This window comes from Homo sapiens, chromosome 3, assembly GCF_000001405.40.
Source record: "Homo sapiens chromosome 3, GRCh38.p14 Primary Assembly".
NCBI classification, from domain to species: domain Eukaryota; kingdom Metazoa; phylum Chordata; class Mammalia; order Primates; family Hominidae; genus Homo; species Homo sapiens.
The window spans coordinates 32,537,166-32,565,053 of NC_000003.12; the positions used below are offsets into that span (position 1 = coordinate 32,537,166).

The 27,888-nt window shown below is 39.6% G+C and overlaps 1 protein-coding gene across 3 annotated transcripts in view; it reads right to left on the minus strand.

The window, feature by feature from the left end:
* The window catches only part of DYNC1LI1 (dynein cytoplasmic 1 light intermediate chain 1), a 44,885-nt gene that overhangs the window by 11,192 nt on the left and 5,805 nt on the right, over positions 1 to 27,888 (minus strand). The window contains exons 1-4 of one of the 3 annotated variants that reach the window (XM_047448246.1): positions 20,547 to 20,670; positions 8,684 to 8,800; positions 7,711 to 7,941; positions 3,872 to 4,041 (exon numbers count right to left, since the gene is read on the minus strand). In XM_047448246.1, coding sequence (XP_047304202.1) covers positions 3,872 to 4,041; positions 7,711 to 7,840 — 300 coding nt within the window. In that variant the 5' untranslated portion in view covers positions 7,841 to 7,941; positions 8,684 to 8,800; positions 20,547 to 20,670. Of the gene's footprint in view, positions 1 to 3,871; positions 4,042 to 7,710; positions 7,942 to 8,683; positions 8,801 to 20,546; positions 20,671 to 27,888 lie in introns of those variants that run through there. The other 2 variants (NM_016141.4, NM_001329135.2) reach the window with 2 other exon arrangements.

The window sequence follows — 27,888 nt, forward strand, 5'->3', positions numbered from 1 at the left end:
TTAAACAGTTCAATTCTGGATAGGGGAACATCATAAAAGTACCACTCTGATATGGTGAATGAACAGCAGGACACAGAATATCAAGTACCCTATGAACTTTTAGTTGGAGGGACTAATGGATAATTTTATCTTTTTAAAAAGCATTAACTTCAACGTTAATGTTAAATCTGGTCAGAACACCAAAGACAAAGTTTTAGTACCTAAGGGAAGGAAGAATAACAAGCCTAGCTTGTTCTAAGAAATCATACTTGCTAATAACTCAACTACTTATAACCTGGAACAAAGTTTTAAAAAATCTAACATCTATTTTAGTTTTATAAAACACTTCTGCATATCCAGGGAGTCTCTACTTCTCACCATTTCTTCTTTGTTCCTGTGTTTATCTGATAATTCTCAAGTGACCTTAATTTCTTTTCTGGTGCTTTTATTCACTCTTATTACAATCTCACTAATAACAAAATAAGGAAACTACAACTGATTTTTGAAATGTCGCCTGTACAATCAATGAGACAATTCTGAATTCTGCTTGCTACAGAAAAATGCTAAGAAAAATACAAAAAAGGCATGTTCAAACATCACGACATCCAAATAATTTCACCAAAACCCTTCTGAATTGCAGGTGTAAAATATAAAAATAAACATTTAATAATGGTCATTACACCTAATATTAGTTTGGGGTTAAATCTGCTATGTAATTTTTTTGTTACATATATATATATATAATTTATATATATAATATATATATATAATTTATATATATAATATATATATAATATATATATAATTTATATATATAATATATATATATTTATATATAATATATATATATAATTTATATATATAATATATATATATAATTTATATATATAATATATATATATAATTATATATATATAATTTATTATATATATATATAAAATTTATATATATATATAAAATAGCAAAAAAAAAAAAAAAACCTAACAGGGTGCAGTGGTATGTGCCTGTACTACTTTGGAAGGTGAGGCAGGAGGATTGAGCCTAGGAGTTCAAGACTACCTGGGCAACATAGCAAAACTCTCCACAAAAATGAAAATAAAAACATATATACGGCACAGAACAGAGTCTCATTATATAATTATGAGGAGCATTTCATTGCCCATTTTATCAAATACTGACAGTGATTTCAAATGATTAAAAATAATTATTATACTTTGACTTATTGACACTTTTGGAAAGGCATGGTGGTTTAGTATTAAATAAAAATATTTTAAGGCCAGGCGCGGTGGCTCACGCCTGTAATCCCAGCACTTTGGGAGGTCGAGGTGGGCAGATCACGAGGTCAGGAGATCGAGACCATCCTGGCTAACACGGTGAAACCCCGTCTCCACTAAAAATACAAAAAAATTAGCCGGCCATGGTGGCGGGCGCCTGTGGTCCCAGCTACTCGGGAGGCTGAGGCAGGAGAATGGCGTGCACCTAGGAGGCGGAGCTCGCTGTGAGCCAAGATTGCGCCACCGCACTCTAGCCTGGGTGACAGTGCAAGGCTCCATATAAAAAAAAAAAAAAATTTTTTTTAACTGAAATCAGAGGATCTGGACTTAAGACAAGAAACTTAGAGAGACTAAGTTTCTAAGACTAAGAGAAATCTCCATTTCCGGAGTCTTTAAACTGATGGCGTTGAACCACCATACTTCTCTCCCTTTGGAAACACACATTTCTCCATACCCCTATACATTTTAAAAGTTCATAAACTGAAATACATCTGATAGTGTCTTAGATTTTATGAAATACAGTAGATGATCTATTCTGGTTTGAAAATGTTATGACTCTATGACTCATTTGATACTGATTCCGGACCCTTTAAGCTTAACATTTTTCTTTTGGAAAGTAAGACTGCTTTTCATAAGGCAAGTAGTGCTGACGGAACCAATGGAACCAACTTCCAATAAACAAACAGCTCTTCACCAACCAAAACAAAATAAAAAACAAAGCACACAGAAGGATTTCAGTGTGAGATTTTAAGATAGTGTTTTACAGAAAAGGTGTATGTAACAATTAACTATACCAAAACCACCATTTGAAAGCAGATGGCAGACTTTAACTTAATTATTTTAAGTGCCGTCACTCCATTCCTTTGTTATGGATAATTTTTGTAGCAAAGTAAAACCTAAGCTAGGTTTTAGATTTTTTAATCAATTTTACTCCAACAATGAATAAATTCTATACCCTCCTTTAATTTTACATGTGCAAATTTTACATAATAAAAGGCATTAATTTCAGGTCTCAAAAGGACTTATGTTCTGTCATTTTCTTAACTATTCCATGACTTACGAACAGTAAAAACACACACTTAGGACCAAGTGGGGAGAACATGAAATTGATCTATTATTATTATTATTATTATTATTTTGAGATGGAGTCTCTGTCGCCCAGGCTGGAGTGCAGTGGCGCAATCTCAGCTCACTGCAAGCTCTGCCTCCCAGGTTCACGCCATTCTCCTGCCTCAGCCTCCCGAGTAGCTGGGACTACAGGCGCCCGCCACCATGCCTGGCTAATTTTTTGTATTTTTAGTAGAGATGGGGTTTCACCATGTTAGCCAGGATGGTCTCGATCTCCTGATCTCATGATCCGCCCACCTCGACCTCCCAAAATGCTGGGATTACAGGCGTGAGCCACCACGCCCAGCTGATCTATTAATTATTTTTATTTATGTATTTATTTATTTATTTAATTTTGAGACAGAGTCTCACTCTGTAGCCCAGGTTGGGGTGCAGTGGCGCAATCTCGGCTCACTGCAAGCTCCACCTCCCGAGTACATGCCATTCTCCCGCTTCAGCCTCCTGAGTAGCTGGGACTAAAGGCGCCCGCCACCACGCCTGGCTAATTTTTTTGTATTTTTTTTTGGTAGAGGAGGGGTTTCACCGTTTTAGCCAGGATGGTCTCGATCTCCTGACCTCGTGATCCACCCGCCTCAGCCTCCCAAAGTGCTGGGATTACAGGTGTGAGCCACCATGCCTCACCTTCTATTAATTATTTTTAAAGGAAACTTAATTTTATTACAAAATATATACAGTGAAATAACCAATAATATAATTTTGATAATAGTGGTCCTATCAGAACCTCTTTAAAAAACAGAAACCCTTGATGACTGCATGTTAACTTTATATAATGAGTGCTGCTACATGTTTAAAAGTCTACTTTAAGTATATAATCCTCTGATATTAGAGAATATATAAAAATTTAATGTTGAGGCTGGGCACAGTGGCTCACACCTGCAATCCCAGCACTTTGGGAGGCCAAGGCGGGTGGGTCACCTGAGGTCAAGAGTTTGAGACCAGGCTGGCCAACATGGTGAAAGCCCGTCTCTACTAAAAATACAAAAAATTAGGTGGGAGTGGTGGTGGGTGCCTGTAATCCCAGCTACTACGGAGGCTGAGGCAGGAGAATTGCTTTAACCCGGGAAGCGGAGGTTGCAGTGAGCCGAGATTGTTCCATTGTACTCCAGCCTGGGCAACAAGAGCAAAACTCCGTCTCAAAAAAAAAAAAAAAAAAATTAATGTTGAAAAATAATTTTATAAAAACCAATAAACTATCATTTTACCTGTAATTATTTCTACTAAACTGATTGATCATACAATGAAGTTCAATTGGAATTATGAAAATGAAATTCAATCACAAGTATTTGAAATAACATTTTCTTTCAAAGAAACTATAATTAAGACCACAAAAGCAACATGTTAATATCATTAAATACTTTAAACTATTATTTGTTTGTTAACAAAAAATCATCTAGGAGAACTAATGTGTTAACTCCAAAAAACCTGGAAAACAAAACAGTTGTTCATCCTCAGTGAATATCAGTTGCAGAATCCCTAGGAAGCAAACTAACCTTTGTGCAAACTACTAGTACTGGAATGCCCAAGTTATGTGTAAGTGTATCCGCACCCAGAGGTAAAACTACACTGTCATCTTTGTCTTCTTGTGACGCAGTATTTCTTCTCTGGGGAGAAGCCGGGAAGTCTTCTCCTGGCTCTACATATTCTTGGAAGTCTCTAATCACTGAAAATCAAAGTAAACACAATTTAGAAATTGCTTCATTTCAGCAGGTAACTTTTCTTGCCATAATCTAAAGATAAAATTTACTCGAATTTATACTTAGTCTTGTGTAAGAGAAGAAACAAAAAGGGTTTGAGAAACCTATTTCAAAGAGAATATACAAACACTGGACCCACAGTAATAATTAGGAGACAGAATATTACTACTGCAGGGGATGGCTCTACAAAGTAGGGTTCTATCTAGACCTGGCTCAATTTATGCAAAATATTTTGGTCAAGTCACAATTAGTTTTGTCTCTCTACCTTCTCTAATTCACAAAGGGCACTGTATGGATAAAAGAAAAATAAATGTGGGAGAAAAAAATCCCATAACTTAAAAGATAGTCTAGATGATTTTCTAATACTAACTTCTTTCACTAAACCCTTTACTCAGGTCTCTCCTTTTTTACCTAGGCTCAATCTTGGGCCATGCTCATTCTGTAACTCTGGTACAACTTAATGAAATATTACCAGTGCTGATCAGTTTTTAGGAGTTATTTGCAAGGTTGTCAAAACTGTCACTAAAAAATATAAAGTAAATGTGAATGTATCAAGAGACTTGAAAATGTATGTTTAGACTCCGTAATTACTCGCCTAGGAATTCTCAAGGGCACAATCAGTGATGCACATACATAGGGATTTCCACGTAACTCTTTTCTTCATGTATAAAAGCAAAACAAATTTGGAAACAAACTGTCTATAGCATAGGATTAAAATAGTATATGAGAAAAAATTATACACAACCATAAGATGTCAAGTTTTCAAAGAATATTTAACGTTGTAGGAAATAGTAACATTAAAAGATACATAAATAAAAGAAGGCCAACGTATGATTCCAGCTTAGAAATAAAAATACTGGGAAAAATACACAAAAGTATTAGTTATTTATTTAGAGACAGGGTCTTGCTCTGTCACCCATGCTGGAGTGCAGCGGTGCAATCATGGCTCACTACAGCCCTGACCCAAGTGATTTTCTGGCTCAACCTCCCGAGTGAGTAGCTACAGGCATGTGCCACCACACCTGGCTAACTTTTTATTTTTGTAGAGATGGGGTCTCACTATGTTGCCCAGGCTGGTCTCAAACTCTGGGCTCAAGCCATCCTCCCACCTCAGCATCCCAAAGTGTTGGGATAACAGAGGTGAGCCACTGTGACCGGCTATTTTCAATTTTTTTTTTTTTTTTTTTGAGATGGAGGCTCACTGTGTCACCAGGCTGGAATGCAGTGGCGCAATCTCACTCACTGCAACCCCCGCCTCCTGCGTTCAAGTGATTCTCCTGCCTCAGCCTCCCAAGGGGCTGGGACTACAGGCGCCCACCACCACGCCTGGCTAATTTTTGTATTTTTAGAAAAGACGGGGTTTCATCATATCGGCCAGGCTAGTCTTGAATTCCCGACTTGTGATCCACCTGCCTTGGCCTCCCCAAGTGTTGGGATTACAGGCGTGAGCCACTGCGCCCAGCCCTATTTTCAATTTTCAAAAAACAAAGAATGTACATTATTACTTACTTAGAAAAAAAATGTGTGTTTTCTCTTAAAGTAATTATGAGCCAGATCTTTGGATCATGAAGACTGACTCATATGGAGGAAAACTGTTCTGAATTTACATGGGGTCAAGGAATAGGGAATCCCGAACAGGTGGGCACCGTTCCTCTAGAAACACAGGGGTCTGTATGTACCCTTAGCAGCCCTGGTGACTACCACTCTTAAGATCAGAGGCTGTAATCTAATAGTGGCTGTCAAATTTTATCATGCACCAGAATCACTTCAAAGGCTTGTTACATCACAGATTACTGTTTCCACCCTCAAGAGTTTCTAATTCAGTGGTCCAGGATGGGGAGTGAAAAATGTGTACTTTTGATATGTTCCCAGCTATACTGATACTGGTGCTGCTGGTCCAGGGAACCACAGTTCAACAACTACTACTCTAGGATAAATCTAGACTTAGGGAAGAACAATAACAACAAAAACTCCACAGGCAATAGTAAACAGAAAAAAAAAAATTAAAAGCATTTAGACATCTCTTTCAATGATTTACTACATACATTTTAAGTTTTTACTGTTTTCTTACACATAAATTCCAGCAAGCTGTCAATTTTTCTTTAAAAGTTACTGTCAGTGAATAATAACAAAGGAGTTCATCTATGTATTTCCTTTCTTTTTTTTTTTTTTTTTTTGAGACGGAGTCTTGCTCTGTCGCCCAGGCTGGAGTACAGTGGCGCAATCTCAGCTCACTGCAATCTCCGCCTCCTGGGTTCAAGCAATTCCCTGCCTCAGCCTCCCAAGTAGGTGGGATTACAGGCACCCGCCACCATGCTGGGCTAATTTTTTTTTTTTTTGTATTTTTAGTAGGGACAGGGTTTCACCATCTTGGCCAGGCTGGTCTTGAACTCCTAACCTCGTGATCCACCTGCTTCAGCCTCCCAAAGCGCTGGGATTACAGGCGTGAGCCACCACGCCTGGCCCACCTATGTATTTTCTTATGCAAAGCACAATATTGGCAAATGAAGAACTCTAAGTGACATTAAAAAATGTTACAGGCAGCCGGACGTGGTGGCTCATGCCTGTAATCCCAGCACTTTGGGAGTCTGAGCAAGGTGGATCGCTTGAGCTCAGGAGTTCAAGACCAGCCTGGGCAACATGGCAAAACCCTATGTCTACAAAAAATAAAAAAAATTAGCCAGGCATGGTGGTACGTGCCTGTACTACTCAGGGGGCTGAGATGGGAGGATGGCTTGAGCTGGTGGGGGGGCGGGCAGAGGTTGCAGTGAACCAAGATTGTGCCACTGTACTTCAGCCTGGGCAACAGTGTGGGACCCTGACTCAAAAATAAAAATAAAAAATGTTGCTGGCTTACAACCTGTTAGAAATGACTCATACAATTTTCATAATTCCCATAAAAATCTCCAATTCACATAGGCATGTACAAAATATGTACTTTATAAATCATAAAACCATTTTAATATCTTTATATGTATACTGTCAACATCTTTCTAGGCACATTTCATTTTGACAAGGTCAGTAAGATTACGAATTAAAAAATGAAACTGCTGAAAATGAGCAGCTGAAGAAAGATTCAATCTTTTCACCCTGCAAAGCTACTTTCCAAAATGAACACACACAGCTTTTTGGCAAGGAGAAAAGGCATCTCTACTAAACAGTTTACCATTGTGTCTTATGTTTCTAATTTGAAACTATATTAAAACCTAGCACATCATCTAAAGAGAATTTTAAAAACAGTAGTTACAGGCTGGGCCGGTGGCTCACGCCTGTAATCCCAGCACTCTGGGAGGCCGAGTGGGGTGGATCATGAGGTCAGGAGTGCGAGACCAGCCTGGCCAATATGGTGAAACCCCGTCTCTACTAAAAATACAAAAATTAGCAGGGCATGGTGGCAGGTGCCCGTAATACCAGCTACTTGAACCCAGGAGGCAGAGGTTGCAGTGAGCCAAGATTGCGCCACTGCACTCCAGCCTGGGTGACAGAACAAGACTCTTGTCTCCAAAAAAAAAAAAAAAGTACTTACAATATGCTTACTTCATTAAACCTTTTTTATAGTCAAAAATTCCTAATGATTAAAGTCAGCCAAGACATTTTGTATTTGAAACCTACATTACTGTTTCTAGATTACTTACACTTTTGTTCCATTTGTTTCATTTCTTCAGGAGGGATTTTCAGTTTGTCAACATGTTCTCTAACAACACTTGCCCATTTCTGTAAAGAATCCAAAGCAGTCCAAGGCTTTGACATGTCAACAACCAGCATAACTAGAGTATCCTTCAGAGATACGGCATCCAGTGAAAATTTAAGGAGGCCTTTGTGATATAGGTCTCCATCTAAGATCCAAACATTACATCTTGTTTGATCTACAACAGACAAAACAAAGTAACCAAGGCAACAAGATTAAGTCATTTCATCATCCAACTAACAGTACCACTTGGTATTTTAGTGCATCTCCACAGGAGATGTGCTATTGGCTTTGACAAAGTTCAACAATTTAGGCCATCTACCAATTTATTTAAAGGCCGAAAATGACTTAACTGCCAGTAAAGTTCAACTGTTTAGGCCATCTGCTAATTTATCTAAAGGCCTAAAATGACTTAACTGTAGCATCCTCTACTTCATATTTCTTAATCCAAAACCAGAGGATGCATAACTTGTTTATGTTTTTACCATCAGCAGATAGAGATATGCATACTCAAGATATCATATACAAAAATGAGAAGGCAAGTGATCTACAGAAGAAAAAATAGCTGATAGATAAAAAAGCTGAGTAGATAATATTTTTATCAGAAAATTAGAAAGTGAAATGGGAGTCAACAAAACAATCACTATCTGAGGGAAGATGAACTGAAAAACTGAGATTCTTCAAGTATGGTAGGAAAGAAGTATCTGCACACCAGGATACCTTAAGATGCTTAAAAGTATCATATATGAATCCCAATCCCAAATTAATAAAAGTATGGCTAAACATAGCTATTTCTTGACCAGCATGACATCACAGAACTTCTAGTAAAAAATTACACACTAAAAAAAATCAAAGACTAATGTGAATGGCAGTGCACCTCAAAATAGACTTCAGAAATTTATGTTACAAATGACACTCACCATCCCTGTCTTCATCATGCACATTTAAGTACAAATATTCCAATCCTCTTCCTTTCTTATACTCCTCTATTCCCTGAATTTTTCTTATTAAGCTTGTTTTTCCAGCTCCATCTTCACCTAGATATGTAAAAAAAGGATAAATCTTATAAATTATAACACCGATTATTTAAGGATGCTTTCTAGTACCAAGTGAAAAACCCAACTGGAACTAGCTTCAACCAAAAAGGCAATTTGATGAAATATAATGGAGCAGCTACAGTATTAAACATGCAGACTTGGCTGGGCATGGTGGCTCACACCTGTAATCCCAGCACTTTGGGAGGCCGAGGCAGGCAGATCACTTGAGGTCAGGAGTTTGAGACCAGCCTGGCCAACATGGTGAAACCCCGTCTCTACTAAAAGTAGAAAAATTAGTCAGGCGTGGTGGTGCATGCCTGTAATCCCAGCTGCTCAGGAGGCTGAGGCAGAAGAATCTCTTGGACCTGGGAGGCGGAGGTTGCAGTGAGCCAAGATTGTGCCACTGTACTCCAGGCTGGGTAACAAAGCAAGACTCTGTCTGAAGAAAAAAAAAAGATAAAAAAGATGCAGACTCCATCATGACCAGGATTCTCTCTCCGTCTTGTTAAATCTTGTCCTATCCTATTGCAAATGACTTCCTCTACGGATAATTTTCAGGAGATGAGAAGGTAAAGTGAAACACCTTAGGTTTCAGGAATTTCCACTCTCATGTCATCCCAGTTTAATCTACAAGGAATAAAAGACTCTTACTCTTAGCTTTCAATCTGAAGAACCTCAGGTAAAGACTCTTAATTGGCCCAGTTTGAGTTATATGTCCACCTAAGGGCCAATCAAGGGGGAAGGATGGCACATCAATCAGTTCCCTGTACATCAGGACAGGGAACTGTGACCTTTAGCAGAACCATGAAGCCATAATAAATACGTAGCAGGAGAGATGGTGAGAAAATGGGGATAACAAGTTGGGCAAGAAAAAGTGTAGGGGGGATGTACAACAGACAAAAATTAAAAATAGACTTAAAAGTATTAATGACAGAAAATCACGTGATTTAAATTTGACACAAGTATTTTTTAAAAAGGTTTAAAACTAGGCTAACTAGGCCAGGCGCGGTGGCTCACGCCTGTAATCCTAGCACTTTGGGAGGCCAAGGGAGGTGGATCCCGAGGTCAGGAGTTCAGACCAGCCTGGCCAGCATGGTGAAACCCCATCTCTACTAAAAATACAAAAAATTAGCAGGGCACAGTGGCGCGCATCTGTAATCCCAGCTACTCGGGAGACTGAGGCAGGAGAACTGCTTGAATCCGGGAGGTAGAGGTTGCAGTGAGCCAAGATCACGCCACTGCACTCCAGCCTGGGCAACAGAGTGAGGCTCTGTCTCAAAACAAAACAAAACAAAACTAGGCTAGCTGTTCAATGTTTTGGTGAGGGCTTTTTAATATTGTGAGTATTTAAATGCTACTTACATGTTACTGTTCATGGACTTATTAGAATCATAGTAATAGTATTTATAGATATAAAACTGGAGTTGCTTGAATCTAAGGACTTATTCCTGAAGATCTATGAGTTCTCTAAGAATTTAAAAATTGTCTTCATTTCCATGTTAAGCTAAAAAAAACATATATGTCTTAAGTCTTTATATCTGAATGCTGCCACAAGATTGCAGTGCCCACCTCTGCAATGGTGTTTATAATCCTACTGGGGCCAAGGTGAAGCCAAGTGATGCAGACAGAACAGAAAAGAAAGTCAACACACAGGCATGCCAAATTCAAAGTATCCCAGAGCAGTCAATTCCATATTCAACTGCACCAGGCAGACTGGTTCTTTTTATGAAACATTTTCTAATACTTCACAGCAATAAGTGTAACCTTAAATAGGTAATAAAAAAGGTGACAGTAAGAAATCCAAAGGAAGTAAATACGTTAAAGAGATATCTGTACTCCCATGTTCATTGCGGCATTATTCACAATAGCCAAGATATGGTATCAACCTAATTGTCCATCAACTCCATCAACAAATGAATAGATAAGGAAAATCTGGTACGTGTATGTGTGTATATGCACATATGTACATAATAGTATTGCATTGTGGGTATGTGTATGTATAATATATATGTGTGTGTATATGTTACATGTATACACATACACACACATATATATTATACACACACATACTCGCAATGCAATACTATTTAGCCTCAAAGAAGGAAGGAATTTCCATCATATGCAACAATATGAATGAACCTGGAAGGTTCATCATTATGTTAAATCAGGGGTCCCCAACCCACTGGGCTGTGGACCGGTACCAGTCTATGGCCTGTCAGGAACGAGGCCACACAGCAGGAGGTGAGCCGACAGCATTACCGCTGAGCTCCACCTCCCGTCAGATCAGCAGTGCCGGCATTAGATTCTCATAGGAGCCCAAACCCTAATGTGAACTGCGCACGCCTGGGGATCAAGGCTGCATGCTCCTTAGGAGAATCTAACTAATGCCTGATGATCTGAGGTAAAAGAGTTTCATCCTGAAACGTCCCCACCCAGTCCATGGAAAAACTGTCTTCCATGAAGTCGGTTTCTGGTGCCCAAAAAGACTGGGGACTGCTGTGTTAAATAAAACAAGCCAGGCACCGAAAAGCAAATGCTCCATGATCTCACTCATACATGCAACCTTAAAAAGTTGATCTTACAGAAGTTGAGAACACAACAGTAGTTACCGGGGACTGGGGCCATGGTAGGGAAGGGAGTTGGGGAGAGAGATGTTGGTCAAAGGTTACAGAATTTCAGTTAGACAGGAGGAATACCTTCAAGAGACCTATTGTACAACTTGGTGACTATAGTTATTAACAATATGCTGTACTGAAAAATGCCAAGAGATTAGATTTAAGTGTTCTCACAACAATGACAACTATGTGAGGTAATACATATGTTAATTAGCTTGATTTAGCCATTCCATAATGCATATATATACTCTAAAACTTCATGTACTGTAAATATATACAATTTTACCTAATTTAAAAAAAGAATTTGACACTAAATTTGTATTTTTCAGTACTATTTTTACAAAGTACCATTAAACTGGCCCATCAAAAAAAGAAATTAGGTTTAAAAACAGTAATATCTATGATGACAATGATTCCCATAATGATCATGTTTAAAATGCTTAAAATGGAAATAACCAGTAAAAAATAAAATATAAAAATATTTCTTTCTATTACTAAACCCAACACTGGCATTTAATTTCAGCAAAACATCAGTTGTTATATTGATGTTTCTAATTTGAATTTTACCAAGTTCTATAGTTTCTATGGCATTTAATTTATAAGTACTTATAAATCAGTATAGTTTCTACGGCATTTAATTTATAAGTACATTTAATTTATAATTTTGGGGTTTGGAGTTATTTGGGAACTATAAGCCAAAAAAAATAAGTATATCTAGTTGCCTCAGCAGACACAAGCATTAGACTTTATATAATAAAAATAATTTAAATCACCATGTGAAGAGATCTATGAATATCTTCCTTTAAAAGGAGCCTGAATCTGTTCTAGAACTAGGAAAAGAATCAAGATTTCTTAAGGTTTTTATTCTTATGACAGGCTACTTTCCTGAAAGAAATCCTCTAAGTTAAAATGATATCAACTTGATTTGGATTATCCCACAAAAACAATGTTTTGCACTGTAAGTAAAAACCTAGTGCCCAGCCTTATAACAGAAGCTTACTGAACAACACAATATTCAATAAGTATTTTGTAAAGCATACACAGATCCATAAAAATAAGCAGTAATTAGTTAAGTAAAACTACATATAATATGACCCAGGATTTATCTTATTTCTTTAATTCCCACTTTAAATGTTAGAAAATGAAAAGACACTACCTTGATTGAGCCATCCCACAATGTACACACATTTCAAAACATATTGTACACAATATACACAATTTTTGTCAGTTTTAAAAAAGTGAAAAGACACCTTCATAAGGGTAAAAACTTCAGATGAGTTTATTTCAACTTATTTCTTAAAATATTAATATTTCAACTTACTTAAATATAAAGGCTTCCAAATAAAAAATACGTAGCTGCAGAAAATCTCATGCATAAGCAAAAGAATAGAAATCATATTATCTAGAAATAATCATTGATAATTTGGTTATCTCTGATGGCGATATTATGAGTAATTTTTTCAATAACAAGCTTGTGTCTTCCTTTTAGTTTAACTAATCTCTAAAGGTTTAAGTTAGTAGATTCAGAACAGATTTTGAGCCTGAATTCATGACATCAAAAATACTATTGGCCGGGCACAGTGGCTCACGCCTGTAATCACAGCACTTTGGGAGGCCAAGGCGGGTGGATCACCTTAAGTCGGGAGTTAGAGACCAGCCTGACCAACATGGAGAAACCCCGTCTCTACTAAAAATACAAAATTAGCCAGGTGTGGTGGTGCATGACTATAATCCCAGTTACTCGGGAGGCTGAGGCAGGAGAATCGCTTGAACCCGGGAGGCGGAAGTTGCAGTGAGCTGAGATTGCGCCATTGCACTCCAGCCTAGGCAGCAAGAGTGAAACTCCGTCTCAAAACAAACAAACAAAAAAACAAAACTGTCAATCTAACTATATAGGCTCACTATTTTAATTTCTTGCAGCCATCACTACAGCATGGTTGTTTCCTTTTTCTAAAGACTGAACAGGGTTCTCCTCCACTTATCATAAGATCAGAGTTTATTCCTCTCTGTGAATGTTGTCAATCATTCGTTTCACTGGACGAATTAATAATTTTCTAACTATTAGAACTATCAGAATCACCTGCAGGATTTGTTATAAGGTATCAGAATCACCTGAGAAGTTTGTTAAAACACAGATTACTGGGACCCACCCCCTTAGTTTCTAATCCAGTAAATATTGAGTGGGGCCTAAGAATCTGCATTTCTAACAAGTTTCCAGAGATGCTGATACTGCTGGTACAGAAGCCACATTGAAAACCATTCCATGGCTGGATGTGGTGGCTCATGCCTGCAAACCCAGAACTTTGGGAGCCGAGGCAGGTGGATCACTTGAGCCCAGGAGTTCAAGAGCCTGGGTGATCAAGTGAGATCCCATCTCTATTTATAGTTTTTAAATGTGTAAAAAAAATTTTAACAGCAAATTAAAAAAAAAAAAAAGAAAACCACTGCATTAAACATTTATTAAACTAAGCCAAACACTAAGAATATGAAGATCCTTATATCAAAATTGTTGTCCTCTAAGAGCTCATAAATTGGAAGGGGATAACAAATACGAAACAGTTTCAAGATATTGTCATTACAACTACACCAGAGATATGCAACAAATCAGGAAGTCAGCCCAGAGGGAAGAGCCTGGTTTTACTTGGAAGTCAGAAGTCTTTGCAGAAAAGGTAACGCTTTAGTCAAATCTTGTACAGTTAATGAACCATGGAGAGTCTGTCATTCCAGGAAGTAAGAACACATGAAAAAAGCACATACAGAGACCCAGAAGCAAAGAAGCATCCTTCTAGGAAGGACAAATAATTTGAATGCATGAGATTTAGGATGTGAAGGGGAAAGGAAGCAAAAGGTGAAAACAAACAGTGGAGGCCAGATCATGAAAGGCATCTTATGCCAAGCTGAGAAGGTCAGACTATTCTGAAGATGAGGAACCACTGGCACAGTTTAGGTACTTTAGAAAGAGTGCTATGGAAAAGTGTGGAAGAATGACTGACAAGAGTAAGTTTAGGAGTAAAGAGACAAGACAATAGGCTATTAATGGAGTCCTAGCAAAAAATGAGGTAGTTCTGAACTAAGGTATGGAGGCAGAGACAACTATACTCAAAGGCTGATTTGGTTGGGAGTTGGCAGAGAGAAGAGGCAGACAGAGAAGTCAGAGAAGACTGCCTGGCTATAACTTCAGAAACACCATCCTCTTTACCAGCTGCCTCTGAAGTGTTTGGTCCTAAGTCTTTTTTGCAGACTGCTCTTCTATCCCTACCCAACATTTGTTACCTAGGGTTCCTTCCTCAGTCCTCTGCCCTTCTCACTCTATATGTAATTCCCAGAGACTGCAAATCCAGGACTTCAATTCCACCTAAAATCTGGTGACCCACAGACTTCCTTCAAGGCTCAGCTTCTCCCAAACTACTTACTAGTCATTACTACTGGATGTCCCATGAATACCTCACATTTCAATATGCACAAAGCATTATCATCATCTTGCCACTTCCCCCAAAACACTGACTTACATAATTAATATAAGATTCCAACCTCAAAGCCTTTATATCCACTATTCCCTCTACCTAGAACAAAGTTCCTTCAGATATCTGCATGTTGCCTAACCTCCTTTTTGCCTTCCCTTAAATATTACCTCCTCAGGTAGGCCTCCCTGACCACCTCATTCATTCATTCCTTCTTACAAACAAGTATTTACTATTCATTCATTCATTCATTTTAAAGACAGGTCTCACTCTGTTATCTTTCTTCATTCATTCACTCATTTTTAAAACAGGGTCTTCCTATGTTGTCCAGGATGGTCTCAAACTCCCGGCCTCAAGCATTCCTTCCACTTAGCCTCCCAAGCACTGGGATTACAAGCATGAGTCACTGAGACCCCCAGCTTTTCTTCCCCCATCTCATTTAGAATTACAACCTCCCAACATTCTTTATTTTTTTTTCCACTGAACATACTAAGATACTATGTATTTTACTTAGTCTCCCCCAACCTCAAAAGCAAGCTCCAGAAAAATAGGCATTTCTATTTTGTTCACTGCTGCATCCCTAGTACCTAAAAAGCACATGTGACAAACGTGCCTATTATGTCTGCTCCTTTCACAGCAAAATGTATACTTTTGCTGTTGTTGTTGTTGTTGTTGTTGTCGTTGAGACGGAGTCTCCCTCTTTCGCCAGGCTGGAGTGCAGGGGTGCGATCTTGGCTCACTGCAACCTCCACCTCCCAGGTTCAAGTAATTCTCCTGCCTCAGCCTCCCGAGTAGCTGGGACTACAGGCACACGCCACCACGCCCAGCTAATTTTTTTATTTTTAGTAGAGAAGGGGTTTCACCATGTTGGCCAGGATCTCTTGACCTCGTGATCTGCCTGCCTCGGCCTCCCAAAGTGCTGGGATTACAGGCGTGAGCCACCACACCCGGCCTAAAATGTATACTTCTAAGCCTCCTACAGAGCAGCCACTGACACATCTTGTCTCAAACAACAAAAAGCTATCAGCAGGGCATGGACCTCAGCATTTTGGAAGGCCAAGGCAAGAGGATTACTTGAACCCAGGAGTTGAAGGCCAGTCTGGTCAAGATAGGGAGATCCTCTATCTACAAAAAAATAGAAAAATTGGCCAGGTGTGGTGGTGCACACCTGTGGTCCCAGCTACTCAGGAGGCTGAGGTGGGAGGACAGCTCAGGCATGGGAGAATCAAGGCTGCAGTAAGCTGTGATCATGCCACTGCACTCCAGCCCGGGAAGCAGAGTGAGACACTATCCCAAAAACAAAAACAAAAAACCCAAACCAAACCATAAAAAAGTGCTATCAATTCAGTTGCAGCCAAAAATTGATCCAAGTTTCACAAATCCCTAAATGCAGGATACAAATTTCGTCCCCTTACCTACTTTGAGAGTATTTTAAAACTATATTGTATATTAATGAGTTTGAAATGCAAAGGCCTAAAAAACTAGGACACAAAAAGGATAAAGTCAACATGTCTCCACACAATAAATATTAAAGACTAGAATTATGTCCCTTCGCCCATACCTTAGTCAAATGGAGCCACTAGTGGTTCCCACTTCCCTCTCTACAGAAGCAGCAAGCAGCATACAGCAGTGAACACTTACAGAGTGCCTACCTGCAAGAGTATCCTGCCAACTGTAACTAACACAACAACTCTGAGGGGCGTGATTATCTCCCATTTGGCAGGTAGGATGCTGAGGCTCAGTTAAGTACCTTATCCAAGTTCACACAGGTAGGAAATGACAGAGCCAGGTCTGGATTCATAGGAATTTAATGCCAAGGCACATTCTTCCTAATACTCAACAGTGCTGGTGTCTTTAGAGACCATTAAAGCAAGACTGTTTGGGAGCCATGGTGGCTCAGGGCTGTTGTCCTGGTGCATAAGGAGGCAAGGCTAGGCATTTGAGGCCAGCCTGGGCAACACAGAAACCTCTAATCTATGTAACAACAACAACAAAAAGACTGTTTATTATTTTTTGTATTATGACTCTCTGAAGAAAAAAGTTATCTCCACTTCCAAGAATCACTACTATTTTCAGAAGAGAAAGAAAATTAATGCACTCTTCTTTGTGGACTTCCTCTGAGTGACAGGTGGATATGTTCCTAGTCTTGTGAATCTAACTTGAAGTAGCAGAAATTTGTTTTACTATGCTGGTAATTTTTTCTCTGCTAGAATTTTACATGATGACAGCTATTCCTCTTAACATTCAGTACTCTGTAGATGTGTTTTAAGTAAACTTTACAACATAAAATTTGAAAAAGGAAAGAGCATATGGTCAAATAAATGTAGTATGTTAAACATAGTAGTTTCAGATTATTTCCCCACCCTGTGATTTCAAAATTTCTCACTTCTTGTAACAAGTTAGAAATGGTCACACTGAGAATAAATAACATTTCATAAACACAGCATTTTGGGGCTACAAGGAACTGTAATAAATCCCCTCTTCTTACAAATGGGGAAACTGAGGCCAAGGCTACAGTCACAAAGATTGGTGGTAGCATAGAATAATCCATGCCTCCCAAGAGAATCCAAGTCAACCTCTGCAAGGGTACAACTCCCTTTAGCTCTTAGGGTAAACAGAATAAGGAAAAAACAAAAACTTATTCCCAAGAATATTCTGACCACCTCACACAGTGCTTTGGCAGGAAGAAGGTTCTTAAAATGTTTCAGGAAGCATTTTATTTATTGAAACAAAATCTTTCTGGGAGCAAAATTTCTATCAACCACTCTTCCTCCTCTCTCATTTATCAACTTTAATAACATCTGGTAATTAAAATTTTTGAATTTTTTTTTTTTTTTTTTTTTTTTGAGACAGACTCTCACTTTGTCACCCAGGATGGAGTGCAATAGCGCAATCTTGGCTCACTGCAACCTCCGCATCCCGGGTTAAAGTGATTCTCCTGCCTCAGACTCTCGAGTAGCTGGGACTACAGGCGCATGCCACCATGCCCGGCTAGTTTTTGTGGTTTTAGTAGAGATGGGGTTTCACCATGTTGCCCAGGCTAGTCTCGAACTCCTGGCCTCAAGTGATCTGCCCGCCTCAGCCTCCCAAAGTGCTGCAATTATGGCATGAGCCACCTCATCAGACCCTGGTAATTGAAAATTGAACATTCATATTTTATAAACATCTTAAGCCCATTTCTTCTTTTCATACATCTTAAGCTTCAATTCAAAATCCTCTTAAGACCCCTCAGGGGATTATGCAGCTTTCACTTTCTTTACACCTAAATGCAGTCTGACATGATGTGTCTTGATGGCAAATGCAACATCTGAAAACAGATCTGTTTCATAAAAGGTCTGAAAAGCTAATGAAAACAAAGGTTCTGTAAACAAAATCCCACTTTTTATCTCCTATTTTCCAGGAATCTGATCTGAGGTATCTGCAAAGATGCAGTCTTGTTCTAGGGTTATACACATCTTCCAATCATATTGTTTGTTAAACTGTTTTTCTCTTTTCATGTCTTTAGGCACAAAACTTAACATTTGGCCTCCTCCCAGTTCTCTTCTCCTCACTCTATTAACACACCACTTATAAGTGAGCATTCACTAAGTATATACCAGCCCCCAATCCATTCCCATCCTGCAGCTGAGTGATCTTCCTGAACCGATCTCATTATGCTACTCTCTCTCTTAAGACCCTTCATCAGGGCATTCTAGTTAATGATACACTTGCTGAAGTATTTAGAGGAAAAGTGTACTGATATCTGCAACTTACACTGAAATGCATTTTTAAAAAATGGGTAAGAGAGCAGGACACATGTGATAAAGCAAATGTAATTAAATGTTAATGGTAGAATCTAGGTTGAGATATATGCGTATTAACTGTAAAATCCCTTCAACTTTTCTGTATGTTTGGAATTTTCGTAAGATGTGAGAAAAAAACCCGTCAGGGTCTTCCTGCTGTTCTTACAGGTAAAGGGCAAAATGTAAAGGTCAACATTCTTACAAAAGCTCCCTTACCTTTCCTGCCCATCTCTCACCATGTCCCCCACCAACATACTAGGCTCTAGACACACAATTTCTTTCAGGAACTTCTAGTCAGAGGCCTCGTTCTCTCCCAACTCTACACCTTCACATATGCCATCACTTCTCTCTGGAACACTCTTCCCTTCCCCTCACCTGGGAGAACGCTATCTTCTTCTGGTCTCTAGGAAGCTTTCTTTGACTCCACATGTTTGGTTAAGTGCCCTCTTTGTGCTCTCAATAGCACACTGCAGACTGAATAGCACACTGTACTGCAGAGGGTCATCTTAGACGTGTGTTTCTTCCAGCAGTCTATAAGTGTGTCAGGTATGTCCCCCACATTCAACGAATACTCTTCAGGCAGGTTCTCCTAACAGTCAGCAAGACATAAAGTCTTTGCTTTTAAGGAGACTGCTTGCTTACCAAATAGAGAAACCATGTCTTATGTACAGATCTTTCACCAACCTTCATATTCTTTTTGTTGCTTTGTGGGTTTCCTTCTTGTTTCTCTGTTTTGTTTTGAGACAGGGTCTCATTCTGTCACCCAAGCTGGGGTACAGTGCACAATTATGGCTCACTGCAGCCTCAACCTCCTGGGCTCAAGCAATCCCTCCACCTCAGCTTAAGTAATCGGGACTACAGGGGTGTGCCACCATGCCTGGCTAATTTTTTAATTTTTTGTAGAGATGGGGTCTCCCTATGTTAACCAGGCTGGTCTTGAACTCAAGCAATCCTCCCACTTCAGTCTCCTAAAATGTTATGGTAACAGTCATGAGCCAGGACATCTGGCCCAAACTTCGCTATTTCTTGATTCCAACCACAATCTCTATTTTCATAATATACTTCATCTGTAACTGCTTGTCCTGGCCATTTACCACAATCTATTAAAATCATTCATTACTCATATAAATAAAACTCAAATGTCCACCTCTCATCAATAACAGATCAATTAATAGTGTAAGCTCATAATACATTCCTCCTTCACTAAACTTAGGAAAACTTTTTCTAGCCATTGGACCAAGGGTTGGTCCTTAGTTGCCTTGCCACAACCAAGCTGGACAGTGTTTGAAGATACTAAAAACTCCATCATGAACCCTCTTCTCTTTATTCACCTATACAATTAGAAGGATAAAAAATATTAAAGTTTAGGATGTCTGTCCTTTGACACTGATACGTTTAAAAATCATGGTTTGCTGGGCACGGTGGCTTAGGCCTGTAATCCCAACACTCTGGGAGGCTGAGGTGGGTGGATCACCTGAGGTCAGGAGTTTGAGACCAGCCTGGCCAACATGACGAAACCCTATCTCTACTAAAAATACAAAAAAAAAATTAGCCAGGCATGGTGGCGGGCACTTTGTAATCCCAGCTACTCGAGAGGCTGAGGCAGGAGAAACACTTGAATCTAGGAGGCGGAGGCTGCAGTGAGTCGAAATCGCACCACTGCACTCCAGCCTGGGCAACGAGAGCAAGACTCCGTCTCAAAAAAAGTAAATAAATAAAAATAAAATAAAAAAATAAATAAATAGAAGTAAAAATAAAAATAATGCTTAATGGCAAACAATTTTAAAAATTAAGTCACTAAATTATAAGTTATTGTTTGGAAAACACAACACACCTAATAGTTCCAGTAAAATAAAATAATTTACTTTATTCTACACAATTAATATACCTTTAAAGTGGCCAATACAGAAAAGGGGTTTCCAACGATACTTGAAATAATCCAGCTACCTATCTTCAGTTCCTTGGCCTTCAGCTGGCAGTGAAACAGACACATCAGCTTTAAGACTGGCAGCCAAATAGTTAACGATCTGTAAACATACAATTACGCAAGTAGAGAGTTCCTGTTCAAACAGACTGGATGAAAGCCCTTCCATAAAGAACCCTTTAGGTGATGATGCTAAAATTATTTTCTGAATATTTTATCTAAATTTGCATGTTTATATACTAAATTTTCTTAAAGAGGGCATATTTAAAAAAACAAATCATTTCATTACAGCCTGAGCAACATGGCAAAACCCCATCTCTACAAAAAAATACAAAAATTAGGCAGGCATGGTGGCACACACCTGTAGCCCCAGCTACTCAGGAGGCTGAGGTGGGAGATCACCTGAGCCCAGGAGGCTGAGGCTGTAGTGAGCTGTGACTGCACCACTGCTCTCCAGCCTGGGCAACAGAGCAAGACCCTGTCTCAAACAACAACAACAATTTCATAAAAGCAATACTATTAGTTTTCATGTCTACATGCAGGTGCTAGACAACTTCTTCTGTAAAGGACTAGACAGCAAATACTTTAAGCTTCTCAGGCCACATGGGTCTCTGTCACACATTTTTTGTTTTATTCCCCCAACTCTTTAAAAATGTAAAAAAAAAAAAAAAAAAAAAAGAAAAGAAAAAGAAAATCTCAGATTCCACACATGGTCACCAAAACAGTACAGGGTGATACTGCTTTATCTCCCTGATAGATCTCTAACTCAACAATAGAATGTAATCTCCATCAACTTCATAATAACAATTAACAGGGGGCCGGGAGCGGTGGCTCACGCCTGTAATCCCAGCACTTTGGGAGGCCGAGGCGGGCCGATCATCTGAGGTTGGGAGTTCGAGATCAGCCTGACCAACATGGAGAAATCCCGTCTCTACTAAAAATACAAAATTAGCCGGGTGTGGTGGTGCATGCCTGTAATCCCAGCTACTCAGGAAGGCTGAGGCAGGAGAATCCCTTGAACCCAGGAGGCAGAGGCTGCGGTAAGCCAAGATCGCACCATTGCACTCTAGCCTGGGCAACAAGAGCAAAACTCCATCTCAAAAAAAAAAAAAATAATAACAACAATTAACAGATTAGAACTGTGAAGACTTAGAAATGTGATTTCTAACTGCAACACTGTCATTATTGATTGTGTAAACCTGTCAAATAATTCCATTTGTTCCCCAACTTCTAAATCGAGGAGAGTAAGATCAGACCATCTCTATAGTGATGGATTTAAAATGCTGTACTATTATCATCCATTACTACTACTTTTTTTTTTTTTTTTAAAGACAGAGTCTATGGTGCCCAGGCTAGTCTTGAACTTCTGGGCTCCAGCAATCCTCCCACCTGAATTTCCCGAGTAACTTGCACTACAGGTGTGTGCCACTGTGCCCAGCTTCATCCATTACTTCTTGATCAGTAATACACTAGAAATAAAACTCATATATATATAGTTTTTGTGTGTGTGTGTGAGACAGGGCAACTCTGTTGCCCAGGCTGGAGTGCAGTGGCAAGATCTCAGCTCACTGCAGCCTCGATCTCCTAGGCTCAAGTGATCCTCCCACTTCAGCCTCCTGAGTAGCTGACACTACAGGTGCATCCACCATGCCTGGTTGATTTTTGTATTTTTTGTAGAGCAAGATTTCACCATGCTGCCCAGGATGGTCTCAAAGTCCTGAGTTAAAGCGATCTGCCCACCCTGGCCTCCCAAAATGCTGAGATTATAGGCGTGTGCCACCATGCCCGGCCCAACTCCTTTGTAACTTATACAGCAGTTTAAAAAATATAACAATAAAAACAGGAATTGTGAAAAATCAGTAGTCAAAGCAAAACAATTAAGAACACATAATACTTTAATGATAATAGCTATCTTGAACACTTCCCAAGTACGCATGCCACTGTTTGACATGGTCCCCAGCATCAGGAACATCAGGAGACAGGGAATTCTAATGTGCTATATCCCTTCCTTATCCAATTGAGATATCAACATTGTAAAGCTGACATTTTTGATTTGGACTTATATAACATAAATTATCCTATTTTATCTGAAAGCTCTGGTGACAAGAGCCATGAGGGGTCTTCACTGAACTACCTGTGGCGTACATCTTCTGCATGGCCTTCCACAGGTTATCTGGAGGACCCAGGTAGGGTGAGGGACTTTAGGTGTGCTCCCCATCTCCTAGAGGGCATCTTCCTCCCTCACATTGGTAGGTAAGAGTAGGGAGAGACTATTAACAAAATGCAGGACACAAAGTGACTGTAAGTAAAAATTTATGCATGCCTATTCATGACTACATCCCTCCAACATGTCAAGGGGTGCCTGTAGAGCGAAAAGACAAACCCAATTTTGAATTCCAGCTGAAGGCCAGGCGTGGTGGCTCACAGCTGTAATCCCAAAACTTATGGAGGCTGAGGCAGGCGGATCAACTGAGGTCAGGAGTTCAAGACCAGCCTGGCCAACAATGTGAAACCCCATCTCTACTAAAAATACAAAAATTAGCCAAGCCTGGTGGCACGCCTGTAGTCCCAGCTGCTCCAGAGGCTGAGGCAGGAGAATCACTTGAACCAGGGAGACGGAGGTTGCAGTGAGCCGAGATCGTGCCACTGCACTCCAGCCTGGGCAACACAGTAAGACTCTGTCTCAAAAAATAAATAAATAAAATGAATTCCAGCTCAGTTGTGTAACCTAGGGCTTAAAACCCTTTCCTGTAAAATAGTAAACATGCTACATAATACGGTACCTAGCAGAACACCCAACACAAGTAACAGACACAATACATGATAGTTCCCAGCCCTGCAGCTGGCCAAAGCCCTACCTTTGGATTGATCATTCAGCAATTCACATTACATTAAAAAAAAACAGAACTTATCCTTAATCATTTTCCTTACTCCCACGGGCTGTCTAGATATGAATTAAAAATAACATTTAGTTGGCCGGGCACAGTGGCTCATGCCTGTAATCCCAGCACTTTGGGAGGATGAGGCAGGCAGATCACCTAAGGTCGGGAGTTCAAGACCAGCCTGACCAACATGGAGAAACCCCCGTCTACTAAAAATACAAAATTAGCCAGGCGTGGTGGCTCATGCCTGCAATCCCAGCTACTCATGAGGCTGAGGCAGGATAATCGCTTGAACAAGGGAGGTGGAGGTTGCAGTGAGCCAAGACTGCACCACTGCACTCCAGCCTGGGCAACAAGAGCAAAACTCCGTCTCAAAAAAAAAAAAAAAAAAAAAAAAAAAAAAACAAACAAAAAAAACACACACACACCAAAGAAAACATTTAGTTTAATCCAATAAATATCTACCAAGATCAGTAAATGCTAAGCACAGTGGTTGATTACAATGGCTATTAATAGTTCCCATGCCCTAGGAGGTCAAAGTCACACTAAAGCAATGGTTCTTAATCAAATATGGTATGTATTCTACAATTAAATCACCTTTACATTAAGATGCAAATTTTTAACCTACTAGATAGCCAAAGATTAAAATGAATAATACTTAGTATTGGCAATGGTGCTAAACAAACAAGTATTCTCACATACTGATGGTAAAAATGTGGCCAGGCGTGGTGGCTCACACCTGTAATCCCAGCACTTTGGGAGGCTGAGGTAGGCAGATCATGAGGTCAGGAGATCGAGACCATCCTGGCTAACACAGCGAAACCCCGTCTCTACTAAAAAATACGAAAAATTAGCCAGGCGTGGTGGCACACGCCGGTGGTCCCAGCTACTCAGGAGGCTGAGGCAGGAGAATTGCTTGAACCCGGGAGTCAGAGGTTGTAGTGAGGCAAGATGGCACCACTGCACTCCAGCCTGGGTGACAGAGCGAGACTTCATCTCAAAAAAAAAAAAAGTAAAATAGTATAACTTTCCTAGAAGACTGACAATACTTATGTAGAAAGATTTAAAAGACCTAACAATTCCACTTCTGGGAACTTATCCCAAAGAAAATACTGGACAAGTGGAAAATGAGGTATAACAATAATAATCTGTCTACCAATCCATTATAATTATGGTATATCTATATATACTATTCAGTCAATAAACAAAGCCGTATCTATTAACATGAAAAAAAAAACCCGTGTTACACGAAGTGAACCATGGTACATGACATTAAAAAAAAATCTGATTGCAAACAAATAATATAAATCATGATTTATTTTTAAGAAAAAAATATTCACATAGAGAAAATGAACATGACCTGGTGTGTTAATAGACGCTCATACCTATAACCCTAGCACTTTGAGGCCAAGACCAGAGGATCATTTGAGCACAGGAGTTTGAGACCAGGCTGGGCAACATAGTGAGACTCCCATCTCTCCAAAAAATAATTAGCCAGGTATGGTGTCCTGTAGTCCCAGTTACTCAGGAGGCTGAGGCAGGAAAATCACTTGAGCCCAGGAATTGGAGGCTGCAGTAAGCTATGATTACACTACCGCACTCCAGCCTGGGGAACAGAGCAAGACTTTCTCTCTAAAACATAAAAAATAAATAAATAAGAAAAAATGAACACTTACCTCTACGTGGTAGGATCATGCATTATTTTCATGTTCTTTCTTTCCTTCTTTTGGGACAAGGTCCCGCTCTGTCACCCAGGCTGTAGTGCAGTGGTGTGATCACAGCTCACTACAACCTTGGACTCCCAGGCTCATATGAACCTTCTGCCTCAGCCTCCCAAGTAGCTGGGACAAAAGACATGTGCCACCACACCAGCTATTTAAAAAATTTTTTTTGTAGAGGCAGAGTCTTGCTGTATTACCCAGGCTGGTCTCAAGCCATGCCCCCACCTTGGCCTCCCAAAGTGCTAAGATTGCAGGCGGGAGCCACTGAGCATGGCTATTTTCACTTTATCTTCTTACCTTTTTTTAAATTTCTCTGGCAAGAAACATGCATTACTTTCATAATTTAAAATAGTGATTTCCAATTTTGAGAGGAAAGTGTTTTAGACATAATTTCTTTTGGTTCTTTTAATCCCATGATGCATGAAATAATCTCAGTTTACAGGTCAGGAGGTTCTAATTTGTCCACAACTCCACCACTTCAAAGGATAGGGAGGCTGACTCTTAAGATCTTGTGGCTTTCGTCAGGACTCCTTCCGCCATATCTAAACTGCCTCGGCCCTTTTCTCTGCGTTTTAGGCCCTTTTCACAGGTTGTTCTCCCCTCACCCTTCTTAGCAAAATTGTACTCAGATACCACCTCATCCGCAAAATATTTCGTGACCTATTTAGCAATTATTTCATACCGACATACTTGATCTTTACTACTTTGAGTCTCTTCCCCACAGGAGATTATAAGCTCCTGGAGGGCAGGAGCTGAGTCTTAGTCATCCTGTTTACCCCAGATGATTCAGCAAAGCATTTTATACATGACATGTCTCTAATAAATGTTTGGTGAAAAAAAGAATAAAATGGTAATCTGTGGGGTCTTTCTAATAGCCACTGTCCTGATTTTACAAATAAAGCAAATAAGGCCCAAAAAGGTTAGTCCATGGTCACTTACTTTTTTTTTTTTTTTTTTTGAGATGGAGTCTTGCTTGGTCACCCAGGCTGGAGTGCGGTGGCACGATCTCGGCTCACTGCAACCTCCATCTCCTGAGTTCAAGCAATTCTCCCTGCCTCTACCTCTCGAGTGGCTGGGATTACAGGCACCCATCACCACACCTGGCTAATTTTTCTGTTTTTAGTAGAAATGGGGTTTCATCATGTTGGCCAGGCTGGTCTCGAACTCATGACTTGAAGTAATCTGCCTGTCTTGGCCTCCCAAAGTGCTGGAATTACAGGCCTGAGCCACCACGCCCGGCCACTTAGACTTGTTAGTGACAGAGTCCCACGCTAAATTTTAGACTTTTCTTTTCCTATTTCAAGACTCCTTTCTGTTTTATATTTTCTAAGTGCTTTTACTGACATTCCCTCTCACATGGATTTCACACCAGCTGAATTACTGCTCTACCAGCCTGTATCTGTGATTTGCCAGTTCTGTTTTCTGCTTTTGACAGTAGCACTGGGGGAAATATTATATGAAGTCCTCTTAACAATTCTTAAACCTGTGCTCAAACTATACCTAACTGGAATAACAATGATACTTTAAGTAAAGACTGTTCATCATTTGTTCAACAGATATTCACTAGGCACCTATTATGTGCCACACACCATATCCCATTAACTAGAAATCTCTATTAACTGGCATTTGTGCTTACTGATAAAACTGACGCCAATAATCCCCTAACACAGTCATGTGCTGTGGGTCATACCTATAACCCCAGTGATTCAGGAGACTGAGGTGGGAGGATCACTTTAGCCCAGGAGTTGGGGACCAGCCTGGGCAACATAGTAAATCCCTGTCTCTAGAAAAATATAACAAATTTTTAAAATTAGCCATCGTGGTGGGACTACAGTCCTGTATATTCCCAGTTACTTGAGAGGCTGAGGCAGGAAGATCTCTTGAGCCCAGGAGTTTGAGGCTGCAATAAGTTATGATCGTGCCAGTGTACTACAGCCTAGGTGACAGGGCAAGACCCCATCTCTAAATAAACAAACAAACAAGCAAACAAACAAACAAACACAGAGGTTCACAAACTTCAGGCCACAGGCCAAAACTGGCTTGCTGCCTGTTTTTATAAATAAAGTTTTATTGAAACAAGCCTGTACCCATTCATTTACATATTATCCATGGCTGTTTTGGAACTACAACAGCAGAACTGAGTTGTTGCAACAGAGACCATATGACTTACAAAGCCTAAACTATTTACAATCTGGCCCTTGACAAAAGAGTTTGCTGATTCTATTATAAGATGCCACTATGCCATCTTACTCTCAAAACACTTTATATTTGGTGTATTTTTAGTAGTAGTAACATATAATAAACATGTAATAAATAATTTCATGCTAATTCTTTGAAAAAAGTCAATATCATATATGGTAACAGTCTATTCCTTGCATCATATTCCCATAACCAGTCATGCCAGAAAACAGCATAACTCATGGAACCTTGATGATCTTTAATCCCAGCTCCTCACCAAATCAATAGTTTTAGACTGAACACTCTCATTATTTTTATAATCAGTCCTCACATAGAAAACCATACACTCCCTTGCCAGTTACAAGTTACTTCTCTTAACAGATCTCTGAATTCCACTGTGCATATCTTAAGGTTTCCTACAATAGCTCAAGCATAATAGTTTTATTCCTGAAGGGGGGGAAAAAAGACTTTCACATATACTTATTGATGATGTTCAGCATTTTGTGGGACTTTTGGCTGCATATT